Source organism: Homo sapiens, chromosome 1 (genome assembly GCF_000001405.40).
Source record: "Homo sapiens chromosome 1, GRCh38.p14 Primary Assembly".
In the NCBI taxonomy this organism is placed as follows: domain Eukaryota; kingdom Metazoa; phylum Chordata; class Mammalia; order Primates; family Hominidae; genus Homo; species Homo sapiens.
The window spans coordinates 16,424,599-16,438,475 of record NC_000001.11 but is presented as its reverse complement, the minus strand read 5'-3'; the positions used below and the strand labels follow the sequence as shown (position 1 = coordinate 16,438,475).

At 48.1% G+C, this 13,877-nt stretch overlaps 1 protein-coding gene across 9 annotated transcripts in view, besides 1 other annotated feature; it reads left to right on the top strand.

Annotated features, from left to right (window-relative positions):
- Positions 152-322: a silencer, noted in NCBI's record as "fragment chr1:16764649-16764819 (GRCh37/hg19 assembly coordinates)". NCBI's record gives its function as "represses an EF-1alpha promoter that drives an FKBP-Casp9 reporter gene in an ReSE screen in phorbol 12-myristate 13-acetate-treated (for megakaryocytic differentiation) K562 erythroleukemia cells {active_cell/tissue: K562(+PMA)}" and the evidence as "EXISTENCE:reporter gene assay evidence [ECO:0000049][PMID:32094911]".
- Positions 634-13,877, top strand: part of SPATA21 (spermatogenesis associated 21) — a 42,166-nt gene continuing 28,922 nt past the window's right edge. For 4 of the 9 annotated variants that reach the window (XR_946646.4, XM_011541407.4, XM_017001218.2 and 1 more), the window contains exons 1-4: positions 634-1,348; positions 7,054-7,233; positions 10,461-10,612; positions 12,745-12,952. Coding sequence is in view for 4 of the 9 variants with exons in the window: in XM_011541407.4 (XP_011539709.1) it covers positions 7,105-7,233; positions 10,461-10,612; positions 12,745-12,952 (489 nt within the window). In the remaining 5 variants the exon portion in view is untranslated. Of the gene's footprint in view, positions 1,349-5,551; positions 5,687-7,053; positions 7,234-10,460; positions 10,613-12,744; positions 12,953-13,877 lie in introns of all 9 variants that reach the window. The other 5 variants (XR_946645.2, XR_001737156.2, NR_148413.2 and 2 more) reach the window with 4 other exon arrangements.

The window sequence follows — 13,877 nt, the reverse complement described above, 5'->3', positions numbered from 1 at the left end:
CACCATTTACGTTCACAAGGGTTTCAATTTCTTCACATTTTTGCAAATATTGGTTATTTTTCTTTTCTTTTCTTTTCTTTTTCTTTTCTTTTTTTTTTTTTTTTTAGACAGGGTCTCTCTCTTTCTTTCTCTCTCTGTCACCCCACACTGGAGTGCAATGGTGCGATCATCACTCACTGCAGCCTCAAATTCCCGGGCTCAAGGGATCCTCCTGCCTCAACCTTTTGAGTAGCTGGGCCTACAGGCACACACCACCCTACCCTGCTATTTTTCTTACTTTTTGTAGAGACGGGGGTCTTGCTATGTTGCCCAGGCTGGTCTTGAATTCCTGTCTTCAAGAGATCCTCCTGCCTCAGCCTTCCAAAGTGCTAGGATTATAGGCATGAGCCACCATACCTGGCCTTATTTTCCAATTTTTTTTTTTTTGAGACTAAGTCTCACTCTACCACCCAGGCTGGAAGACAGTGGCATGATCTCAGCTCACTGCAACTTCTGCCTCCCAGGTTCAAGTGATTCTCGTGCCTCAGCCTCCTAAGTAGCTGGGATTACAGGCATGCGCCACCATGCCTGGCTAATTTTTGTATTTTTAGTAGAGACGGGGTTTCACCATGTTGGCCAGGCTGGTCTATAACTCGACCTCAAGTGATCCACCCACCTCGGCCTCCCAAAGTGCTGGGATTACAGGTGTGAGCCACCGCACCCAGCCATTCAGAGCACTTTCAGTTCTGTTCAGTCTAACAAAGACAGGCATCGAGCACATACCCTATGCCAGGTGCTGAGTACTGGGGTCACTGGGATGTGGCCAATCCAGCTCCTACCATCCTGGAGCTCGCAGACTGGAGGAGACAGAGAGAAAAGCAGTCATTGGCAAAGCAGAATGAAAGGTACTGTAATGAAGCAAATTCACAGGGGCCTGTGGGAGCAAAGAGAAGAAACCCCACACAGTCTGGGGAGAGTCAGGGAAGGCTTTCTGGGAGAGAGTACCCTGGCCCAATAATCACTGTGAGGTTGGCAAGGCAACGATTGTTATCTTCATTGTGTAATGGGGGCCACTGAACCAGTGACAAGCTGGGGGAAATGACACTGTCCAGTAGTTGGAGGTCACACAGCCCCTTGCCTTATTCTCAAACCCTAACCACATGGCTGGATATTCCTGAAATGCATTCCTAAACCTCTGCTGCTGAGAATAATTGGACCTGCCATCTATTCCCAGTTTAACTGCCCTGTATACCAAACAAATCCAATTCAAGCCAACAGGCAAAGTATAGGCTCAGACAGAGCCCATCCTATGTGCAAGGCGGTGAGCAGGGGTGGAAAATCTCACTGTGACTCATCCAGCTGATTTCTGGTAGGTGCAGGGCCAAGGTGGGGTGTAAGGTGAACAAGCTTTCCCTGACGGCCTCCAGACATATATATGATATGCCACTTATCTTTATCTGCTGTATTTTCCTGCCATCATAGATATTTCCAAGAGAAATTCTCCCATTTTTCAGATGAGGAAACCACTTATAAAAGGGGCACTCAATACCCAAAGAATTTTGAAAAAGAACAAAGTTGGAGGACTCACACTTCCTGATTTCAAAACTTTTTATTTATTTATTTATTTATTTGTTTTTCCATAGGTTATTGGGGTACAGGTGGTATTTGGCTACATGACTAAGGTTTTTGTTTTTTGGTGTTTTTTTTTTGTTTACATTAGTAATTTTTTTTGAGACGGAGTCTTGCTCTGTTGCCCAGGCTGGCGTGTAGTGGTGCAGTCTCTGCTCACTGCAACCTCCATCTCCCAGGTTCAAGCGATTCTCCTGCCTCAGCCTCCCAAGTACCTAGGATTACAGGCAGGCACCACCATGCCCAGCTAATTTTTGTATTTTTAGTAGAAACAGGATTTCACCATGTTAGCCAGGGTGATCTCAAACTCCTGACCTCGAGTGATCTGCCCCCCTTGGCATCCCAAAGTTCTGGGATTACAGGCGTGAGCCACCTTGCCCTGCATGAGTAGGTTCTTTAGTGGTGATTTGTAAGATTTTGGTCCACCCATCACCTGAGCAGTATACACTGCACCCTATCTGTATTTTTTTTTTTTTTTTTTGAGACAGAGTCTCACCCTGTCATCTAGGCTGGAGTGCAATGGTGCGATCTCGGCTCACTGCAACCCTCCACCTGCCAGGTTCAAGCAATTCTCCTGCCTCAGCCTCCTGACTAGCTGGGATTACAGGCATGTGCCACCATGCCCGGCTAATTCTGTACTTTTAGTAGAGACGGGGTTTCTCCATGTTGGTCAGGCTGGTCTCAAACTCCCAACCTCAGGTGATCTGCCCGCCTCGGCCTCCCAAAGTGCTGGGATTACAGGCACGCACCACCACACTCAGCTAATTTTTTGTATCTTTAGTAGAGATGGGGTTTCACCTTGCTGGCCAGGCTGGTCTCAAACTCCTGACCTCATGATCCGCCCGCCTCAGCCTCCCAGAGTGCTGGGATTACAGGTGTGAGCCACCGCACCAGGCCGATAAATGGGACTTTTACAAAAATTTAAAACTTCTGTGCTTCAAAAGACAAAAAGGTGAAAATGTAATCCACATAATGGGAGAAAATTTTTGCAGATCATATATATGATTCAGGACATGTATCTAGAATTTATAAAGAACATTTACCGTGCAATAATAAAAAGACAACCCAGTATAAATGGACAGAGGCAGGCTGGGTGCTGTGACTCATGCATGTAATCCCAGCATTTTGGGAGGCTGAAATGGGAGGATCACCTGAGCCCAAGAGGTCAAGGCTATAGTGAGCCACGTTCATGCCACTGCAGTCCAGCCTGTGGACAGAGTAAGACCCTGTCTGAAAAAAAAAAAAGGGGGGGGCCGGGCATGGTGGCTCACACCTGTAATCCCAGTACTTTGGAAGGCTGAGGTGGGCAGATCACCTGAGGTCAGGGGTTTGAGACCAGCCTGGTCAAGATGGCAAAACCGCGTCTCTACTAAAAATACAAAAATTAGTCTGGTGTGGTGGCACACACCTGTAATCCCAGCTACTAGGGAGGCTGAAGCAGGAGAATTGCATGGACACGGGAGACGGAGGTTGCAGTGAGCTGGAACTAGGCCACTGCACTCCACCCTGGGTGACAGAGCGAGACTCCATCTCAAAAAAAAAAGGACGAAGGCTCTGAATAAACATTTTTCCAAAGAAGATAGACAAATGGCCAATAAGCACATGAAGATGTCCAACATTATCGGCCATTGGGGAAATGCAAATCAAAATCAGAATGAGATAACACTTTACACTCACATCCACTAGGATAGCTATGATAAAAAAGACAAGTAAGGCGGTACAGTGGCTCACACCTGTAATCCCAAAACACTGGGAGGCTGAGGCGGGAGGATCCCTTGAGCTGAGGAGTTCAAGACCAGCCTGGACAACATAGTGAGATTCCCATCTACAAAATATTTGAAAATTAGCCAGGTGTGGTGGTGTGCACTTGTAGTCTCAGCTACTCAGGAGGCTAAGGTGGGAGGATCCCTTGAACCCCAGAGTTGGAGGTTGCAGTGAGCTATGGTCATACCACTGCACTCCATCCTGGGTGATAAAGGAAGACCCTGTCTCAAAAAATAAATAAATAAATAAATAAGACAGATAATAACAAGTGTTGGAGAGGATGCAGAAAAATTGGAGCAGTCATATGCTGCTGGTAAGAAGGTAAAATGATACAGCCACTTTGAGAAAGTCTGGCAATTACTCAAAAGCTAAAAATAGAGTTGACATGTGATTCAGCAATTCCGTTCCTATATACATAACCAAGAGAAATGCAAATGTATGTTCATATAAAAACTTGTACATGAATGTTCATAGCAGTGTTATTCATAATAGGTAAAATGTGGAAACGGGCCAGGCATGGTGGCTCACACCTGTAATCTCAGCACTTTGGGAGGCCAAGGTGGGAGGATCACTTAAGCTCAGGACTTTGAGCAGCCTGGGCAACCTAATGAGACCTCGCCTCTATTTAAAATTAAAAAATTTTTAAGACGAACCAGGCATGGTGGCATGCGTCTGTAGTCCCAGCCAGCCACTCAGAGGCTGAGGGGAGAGGATCCCTTGAGCCCAGGAGTTTGAGGCTATAGTAAGCTACGATCGCACTGCTGCACTCCAGCCTGAGTGACAGAGCAAAACTCTGTCTCAAAAAAAAAAAAAAGAAAGAAAAAAGAAACAACCTCAATTTCTATCTACTGATGAATGGATAAACAAAATGGGGTCTAGCCATACAGTGAAATATTACTCAGCCATAAAAAGGAATGAAATTCTGATGTGTGCTACAACATGGATGAACCTTGAAAACATGACGTTAAGTGAAAGAAGCTACTCACCAAGGACCATATATTGTATGATTCCATTTATATGGAATGTTCGGAATAGACAAATCCACTAAGACAGAAAGTAGATTAGTGGTTACCTAGGGCTGGGTTTGGGGTGGGAAGATTGGGGATGATGCCCAAGGGGTGTGGGGTTTCTTTTTGGGGTGATAAAAATATTCTAGAATTAGGGCGAGGGTGGTACAACTCTGTGAATATCCTAAAAGCCGTTGAATTGTACACTTTAAATGGGTGAACTGTATGGTATGTGAGTTAAATTTCAATAAAGCTGTAAACAAAAAAGGGTCCCAAGTGATCTGAAAGGGTGACATAGTCGATATTTGTCAACTTCTCTCCCAGTTCTACCCTTGGATTCCAAGCCCCTCTGCTAGGGCTGGGGCTTCCCCTCCTTGTCTAGATTCTCAGAGTTAGCAAGCTCCAGATGTGGACAGATAGGGGCTGGAGCCCCTCTGGGGCTTCTGCCTCCGTAAAACTTCAGTTTGTGGAATACTGGGGCCTGACAATTCCAAGGCTGAGCCTGCACATTCTCAGGCAGAGACAGTGGACAATAGGGGGTGTGTTTGAGGGGCGTAGGGGGAGATTTTCCCTAGGTGGTTCATCCACCCCTGAGACAGGAAGACTCAGAGGAAGCGGGAATGGCTAGGGGAACCCTAATGAGAAAGAGGCTGGGGAGGGGCAAGGAACTCCAAGGCAAGAGAGAAGGACTTGGCCACAGCCCTGACTTTTCCGCTCCAGGTGACAGCCTGGTCCTTCGTGAGGCCAGAGCTGCACCAGGGGTGGGAGGTCACCCCACCAAACCAGCTGAGGTCTGCTTTGCATGGCAGGGGTGCAGCTGTAACTGCAGGAAGGGCCTGGAGGGCAGGAAAAGGAAGTGCGAACTTGGGTCAGCAGCTATTAAGTGCGCCTCCTCTGTGTCCCTGGTAAACTGTGGGAACCGTCAGGACACCCAGTGTATCCCCTAAGGCCTGACGTTGTCCCTAGCACGGGCACGTGTCATTAAACAGTTATCGATTGCACAAGGAAATGAATGAATGACTTAAGCTTCTTTGTAGGCAAAATGATATGATGAGATGAGTGGCCATGGGAGTCAGACAGGCCTGGGTTTGAATCCAGTTCCTCTGCAGACTGGCCATGTGGTATCGGACAAAACATTGCTCAGAGCCTTAATTTCCCTATCTTTAAAACAGGGCTGAACCCAGACTTCACAGGGCTGTTAGGAGAATACTGTTTACAAAGGTTTCCAGCACATGGAAGGTTCCTCCGTGGATGCTGGCGGGCCTGCCATGATTTAAAGTGGAAGAAGCACCATCAAGATCTTCAAGGTCATATGGTCTCACTACAGGAGGAAGGGGCATGGGGGTTAGGATTTACTCCTGGAAACTAGTTAACAGTGAAAGGGGGTCCATGTACCCATAGAAATGGTGCTGATGTTGCCTCAAAGGAATTCAGTGGCTGGAGAGAGAGCTGAGATGGTTGGAAACTTGGAGAAGAGGGAGGAGCTTGAAGGATGGGTTGGGGGCTATCGGAAAGATAGAAAAAATGGGAGGTGGGCACAGAGGCTGGGGTCTGTGGGACTAGGATTGCAGGAGCCTGCCTGGATTAAAACAGAAAGTTTGTGTAGGGGGTGGTGGCACAGCTGAACATGAGGTTGGATGAAAGAGGTGGAGGAGAGATGAAAGGCTTCAGAAATGGCCAGGTGCAGTGGCTCACACCTGTAATCCCAACACTTTGGGAGGCCGAGGCGGGCGGATCACTTGAGGTCAGGAGTTCAAGACCAGCGTGGCCAACCTGGTGAAACCCCATCTCTACTAAAAATACAAAAATTAGCCGGGCATGGTGGCGGCCGCCTAAAATCCCAGCTAGTAGGGAGGCTGAGGCAGGAGAATTGCTTGAGCCCAGGAGGCAGAGGTTGCAGTGAGCCAAGATTGCAGCACTGCACTCCAGCCTGGGCAACAGAGCGAGACTCTGTCTCAAAACAAACAAAAAAAAAAAAAAAAGAAGAAGAAGAAGAAGAAAAGAAAAAGAAAAAGAAAGGATGTGTCCAGGGCAGGGTGTGGGTGCTTTGGTGAACTGCAGATTGCCGCTGGAGACTTTGGGGCCCTGAGACAGATGGACAGATGTCCCTAGTTCTTGTTCCTTAGCCCCATCTAAGAACATGGAGTTTTCATCTATAGCAGGAGCAGCTGTGACATTCTTGGACTCTCTTTAAAAGGCACATTAGTATTTTAAAGGCTCTGAGAAGTTGTACAGGAAAGAGCCTGTATCATTTCGCTCATCACAGCACTTTCCAAAGGCATTTAGCCTTGGAACCCCTTGGAGCATCTGAAGGGACCAGTATGCCAAAGAATACCCTGTAGGAAATGTCGCCGTCGGGGAAAGCGCCTGGGTTTTGGGATTCAACAGGCCATGGTTCAAATCCTCGTCTGCGACCTAGCAGGTGTTAGATCTTGGGCAAGTCTTGTGCCTTCCAGAGCCCCTTTTCCTCAGGGTCATAGTGAGAACTAGGAAAAGCGTATGGGTAAATGGCATGTGGCTAGCTCTCTGGTTTTGCTGCGTGCCTCTCCTTGCAAGGCCTGGCCCCGCCTCTTCCCTCGAGCCAGGCTGTCTACATTATAGGCTCCAAGTGGGCTCCTGAAGCAGCAGTTAGGTGATGGGCTTGGTGGGACGCTTGATTGGATTTCTCCTGTAGGAGCACACTAGGTGATGCCCCTCACTTGGCACCCGTGTTGGCGCTGGCATCATGGACAATAGAAACACCCAGATGTACACGGAGGGTAGAACCAAGGCTCCAGGGACGCAGCCAAGTCCTGGCCTGAGGATCACCATAAAGAGGGCTGGTGTTGAGCCCATCATACCAGGAGTCAGCAAGGTAGGGACCTGCACCCCATGTTCTGATCCATTCACTCCTAGCTGGCACCTTTCCCTTCCCCTGCCCAGGCTTCCTCCCCAGCTGCTTTAATTAAGACTCTGTTAAAAATGGACACAAAACCCAATTCAAACTGGATTAAGCAGAAAAGAGAATATATCAGTTTGGGTAACTGACACATGCCTTCATAGACTTCAGGTATGGCTAGATCAATGTGCTAAATGAGTATCTCTTGGCTCTATGTTCCTCCGTGTTGGATTCATTCTCAGGCAAGCTCTCCCTGCAAGATGGCAGGGATTGCCCTGGCCACTCCAGGATTACATCTTCCCATCTTACACCCTCTGGTTTAGCATTCCAACAGGAAGTGAGCCTCTTTGCAATAGTTGAAACAAGTCTCTAGCATCACTGTCATTGGCCCAGATTGTGGTCAGATGCTCATCCTTGAACCAATCACCATGGCAGTGGGGAGTGGTCTGGATCTCTTGATACAATGGAGACAGAGGTGATAGGTGGCTCCACTGAGCCCCATGGGCTGAATGGAGAAGAGAAGCTTCCCAAAAACAATGCTGGCTTCTGTAACGGAAAGAGCTGCAGGGTGAGCAAACCCAGAATTGCCTACTCGCTCTTCTAGGTGCCTTGCATGGCCTCCAAACTCCCCTCACAGCCTCCAGCCCAGCTTTATTCTCCTGAGAGCTACTCAGGGCTTCCCTCCATGCCCCTCCCCAGAGCCCAGCCTGCATCCTAAGCTTCCATCACACCTCTCAGCCTCTTTCCATCAAATATGTTTATTAGTTTGTTTGTTTGTTTATTTTTGAGACAGGCTCTCACTCTCTCACCCAGACTGGAGTGCAGTGGTGCGATCACGACTCACTGCAGCCTCGAACTCCCAGGCTTAAGCGATCCTCCTGCCTCAGCCTCCTGAGTAGCTGGAACTATAGGCGTGGCTTGTGCCACCATACCCAACTATTTTTTTAATTTTTTGTAGAGACAAGGCTTTATCATGTTGCCCAGGCTGGTCTTGAACTCATGGGCTCAAGTGATCTGTCTGCCTCAGCCTCCCAAAGTGTTGGGATTACAGGCATAAGCCTCCGTGTCCGGCATCTTCTTTTTTTTTTTTTTTTTTTTTTTTTTGAGATAGAGTCTTGCTGTCACCCAGGCTGGAGTGCAATGGTGTGATCATGGCTCACTGCAACCTCTGCCTCCTGGGTTCAAATGATTTCCGTCTAATTTTTTTTGTATTTTTAGAAGAGATGGGATTTCACCATGTTGGACAGGCTGGTCTTGAACTCCTGACCCCAAGTGATCCGCCCACCTCGGCCTCCCAAAATGTTAGGATTACAGGCGTGAGCCACTGCGCCCCACTGGCCTCTTTTTGAATGTGCCAAGTAGCATGAACTGAAGAGCATAAAGAAGACCCTCCTCACCATCCAGTTTCCTCAGGGCCAAAGATATCACCATTTAAAAAGTCAGCCAGCCGGGCGCGGTGGCTCACGCCTGTAATCCCAGCACTTTGGGAGGCCGAGGCGGGTGGATCACCTGAGGTCGGGAGTTCAAGACCAGCCTGACCAACATGGAGAAACCCAGTCTCTACTAAAAATACAAAATTAGCCTGGCATGGTGGTGCATGCCTGTAATCCCAGCAACTTGGGAGGCTGAGGCAGGAGAATCGCTTGAACCTGGGAGGTGGAGGTTGCGGTGAGCGGAGATTGCACCATTGCACTCCAGCCTGGGCAACAAGAGTGAAACTCCATCTCAAAAATAAATAAACAAACAAACAAACAAATAAATAAAATACAATACAATAAAATAAAAAGTCAGCCAGGTGCCATGGCTCACGCCTGCTCCCAATACTTTGGGAGGCAGAGATAGGTGGATTGCTTGATCCCAGGAGTTAAAGACCAGCCTGGGCAACATCGTGAGACCCCGTCTCAAAAAAAAAACAAAGCCAGGCGCGGTGGCTCACGCCTGTGATCCCAGCTCTTAGGGAGGCAGAGGCGGGAGGAGAGCTTGAGTCCAGGAGTTCGAGGCCTGCCTGGGCAATATAGCGAGACCCCGTTCTCCACAAAAAGGAAAAGAAAAAAAAAGCCAAAAAAAAAAATAAAAAGTCAACATGCCCTTGGGTATGTTCCCTGTAGCCTCTGTTATAAATCCTCACTTCCCCTGGGGCAGGGAGAGGGCCTGGAGGGGAGGAGGCTAGGAGAGAGGCTAGAGGTGAACATTCAGGGCTTCCTTCATCCACCCATTTATTTTTTCAACAAGCACCGTCATGGGGTCCCAGTCCCACCACTTACCCAGCTGTGTGATGTTGGGCCTGTCACTGCACCCCTTGCAGCCTCATTTGTTTTACGGTGTTGACTAAGGCACCTAGCACAGGCCCTGTCTCATAGTAGGTGCCTGTTAGTATTAGCTCACATCAGAATCTTGTATTATATCAATGTCAATGAGTTAATTAAGTCCATTTGTTTGGAGTTTGCTGACTCCGGTGATGCTTGGAGCGGGGTCTCAGTCACTGGCTCCAGGTCACCCAGTTGGAGAGTGACAGACCATGATAGTGATCAAAACCCAGTTCAGGCCAGGTGCGGTGCCTCATGCCTGTAATCCCAGCACTTTGGGAGGCTGAGGCAGACGGATCACTTGAGGTCAGAAGTTCGAGACCAGCCTGGCCTACAAAAAAAATAAAAAAAAAAAATTAGTTGGGCATGGTGGCGCACACCTGTAATCCCACCTACTCGGGAAGCTGAGGCACAAGAATCGCTTGAACCCAGCAGGTGGAAGTTGCAGTGAGCCGAGACTGTGCCACTGCACTCCAGCCTGGGCAAAGGAGGGAAACTCTCTCTCAAAAAATGAAATAAAAACTCAGTTCAAACTAGAGCCTGCGTTTTGAAGGCATGGGAATTGTTGAAGGCGTCTCTTGGACCTTGTGAGAGTCTTGGGGTCCCCCAGGGTGCTCTTTCAAGCTGTCCTTAAGGCAATCCCCTTGTCTCGGGTACTAATCTGGACTCCAGTTCATACCAGAGCCTTACGTGCTAAGCAACAGCAACAGCAGGGCCGGGCCCTGCATCCCTGCCTCTCAGCTCCTGCTCACCCCTCTCCAACAGCTTCCCCAATCAGGCACAGGATCTCCCTGTCCTTGAGGCCAGAAGAGTACCCAGGGAGGAGTGGGAGGGATCACTCCAGAACGGGTACTCAATGCCAGCCCTCAAGCCACTGCCATGGATATCTCTGTCCAGGTCATGTTTCCGGATGCTTCGGAAGTGGGCAGCAAGAAGCACCTCTCATCAGCTTCACGAGGGCCAGAGAAGGGGCCCAGACTCAGAGATGCATTTGAGAAGGGGCCTTCAGAGCTCAGAATCCAGGAGCAGGGGCCTCCAGCAAGACCAGGGTGAGCTGAGGGGCTCTCGAGAGAACAGGTCCAAGAGAGAACCCCCTGTAGCCCACCCGCGGGGGAGAGAGAGAGAATGGAGAACTCCCAGGCCAAGGCAGCTCCACCCACGACAGCACCTTGTCCTTCTCTTTCATTGCACCAGTTGCACTAAAGAGTTCATGTTAACCTTTTGTCTGAACTCCCCCAACGAGACCACAAACATCTTTTATGTGTCTTGTTTGAGGAGCATCATATACCTGGTTCAACCTCAAAGCCCTCATGCCTAGTACTATGCCTGACACATAGTAAATGTTCGATAAATATTGATTCACTGAATTAATAGAATAATGAACAAAAAAAGGTTAGGAGACACAGGAACATGTAAAGATGTACACGTAATTGTTTTCTAAATTTTGTGTTTTTTTAAAACTTTTCTACAGCAAGAATGTATTCAAAAAGAGAAAATCAAGAGCGAGCCAGATAGAGGCAAAGTGAAAGGCTGGGATAATAGAAATAGTAAAGACTAGCTGGCTTAGTTGGATTTGACTATAACCAGAAGCTCCTAAATAGCCTCCTCTACAAGAAAAGTTAGGAGAGACAACTCAAGCCAGGTCCGAGGCCCACTGAGACAACTACTGCATACCATGCCGGTGGAAATAGAAACCATTTAAGCATACCTGTTTCATCAACGTGGCAATTTGTTTAAACTGCCTTGAAACTCCCTTTATCCTCACCCATTTCTGGAAATAGGCCATGAGGAAATAATTGGTGATTCAAGCAGTTTTATGCACAAAGACTTTCACTGTCACATTATCTTAAATACTAAAAAATTAGAAACCCCTTAAGCGCCCACACAATAGGGAAATGGTTAATGATGGTTATCTTTAAAATATGGAATTTTATACATTTAATGAACATAAGAAAACATATAAAGCATGTTTCTGAAGGATTTTTAGCATGCGAAAAACACAGGCTATGATGTTAATTGAAAAAAGTACATTAGGCCGGGCACAGTGGCTCACACCTGTAATCCCAGCACTTTGGGAGGCCAAGGCAGGTGGATTACCTGAGGTCAGGGGTTTAAAACCAGTCTGGCCAACATGGCAAAACCCCATCTCTACTAAAAATATAAAACTAGCTGGGCATGGTGGCACATGCCTGTAATCCCAGCTACTTGGGAGGCTGAGGCAGGAGAATCACTTGAACCCAGGAGGCAGAGGTTGCAGTGAGCCAAGATCACTCCACTGCACTCCAGCCTGGGCAACAAGAGCAAAATTCTGTCTCAAAAAAAAAAAAAAAAAATATATATATATATATATATATAGCCGGGCACCATGGTTCACGCCTGTAATCTCAACACTTTGGGAAGTTGAGGTTGGCGGATCACTTAAGCCCAGGAGTTCAAGACCAACCTGGACAACATGGTGAAACCCCATCTCTACAAAAAATATGAAGATTGGCCAGGCATGGTGGCATATGCCTGTAGTCCCAGCTACTTGGGAGGCTAAGGCGGGAGGATTGCTTGAGCCCAGGAAGTGGAGGTTGCAGTGAGCTGAGATCATGCCACTACACTCGAACCTGGGTGACAGAGCAAGACTCTGTCTCAAATAAATAAATAAATAAATAAGTATGCATACGCATAGGAAGAAGCTTGGAGGAAATACTCCAGAATACTAAAGTGAGATCGGATAGACACAGCTTCAAATTTTGAACAGTTATCTTTAGCTTTATGACCTTAGGCTCAAATCTCTTGTCCTCTCTGCATCCCAGTTCTGATTTTTGTTTCATTTTTTTCTGAAAAACAGTTTAAAAATACTATAAAACTTAAATTCTAGGCTGGATGCAATGGCACGTACCTCTAATCCCAGCACTTTGGGAGGCCGAGGTCGAAGATTGCTTGAGCCCAGGAGTTCAAGACCAGCCTGGGCAACACAGAGAGACCTTGTCTCTACAAATAATTGTGAAAGTTTAAATTTTAACTCCCCCAAACATTGACATCAAAGTGTCTATGATTTGGGGAATTCCTGTGAGTCCTTCATTGGTCCTTCCAGGCGTTAGCTATGCACCTATGGTATGCCTAGCCCTGTAAAAATATATAAAACAGTGCCCCAGTCTGGGAGCTAAAGTGTCACTTTGTCTATTTTCCCCAGGAAGAAACAGCCCTCTTGGGTCCCCCAGGAAGGGTCCCAGGAGCTGCAAGCAGGCCAGGATCAGAGTGAGCTGGGGTTGCTGCCTTCCTGGGTTCCTGAAGTACCTGAAGGGCTGCAGCAGCTGGGCTCCGGAAAGGAGATCAAGGGCCAGCAGGGGAGGCAACGGAACCGGGGAATCGGGGAGGATCAGCCTCCTGAGAGCTGCCAGGTAACCTAGGAGATCTGGGGAGAAGGGTATGGAATGACCTACCACAGAGGAGGTGAAAGAGCCCCCCTCCTATCATGCCCCCCATTCTGGTGCATGTATCTGTAGTCCCAGCTACTTGGGAGGCTGAGGCAGGGGTGATCCCTTGAGCCCAGGAGGTCAAGGCTACAATGAGCTATGTTCAGGCCACTGCACTCCAGCCTGGGTGACAGAATGTTTGCTCACCTCTGTGCCCTGAAGATGTCAAGCACTCAGTCTGTGGGTCACTGGGCTATTCCCCCAGCCTACATCACAAGCATTTAAGTCTTGTTTCCAGGCCGGGCATGGTGGCTCACGCCTGTTAATCCCAGCACTTCTGGAGGCCGAAGGAGGCAGATCACCTGAGGTCAAGACCAGCCTGGCCAACATGGTAAAACCCTGTCTCTACTAAAAAATATAAAATTAGCCGGGTGTGGTGGCACATGCCTGTAATCCCAGCTACTCAAGAGGCCGAGGCAGGAGAATTGCTTGAACACGGGAGGTGGAGGTTGCAGTGAGCTGAGATCGCGCCATTGCACTCCAACCAGGGCAATGAGAGCAAAACTCCGTCTCAAAAAAATAAAAATAAAATAAAAATAAGTCTTGTTTCCAGAGTGGCCCCACGGTATGTCAATGGGTGCAGGGGGGAGGGAGGAGGTGCCAGGTTCTGTATACAGATAATATTGGGACATGCTGAGTTTAACAAAGCTGAAACAGGTTTCTGTATGCTAGGATATCCTGGAAGCAGTTTACTAGCTGCTGAGCCTTTGTAAGATTTTGCAAGATATGATTAGAGGCCAGGCGCCGTGGCTCGTGCTTGTAATCCCAGCACTTTGGGAGGCTGAGGTGGGAGGATTGCTTGAGCCCAGGAGTTTGAGATCAGGGCAACATGGTGAAACCCCGTTCCTAC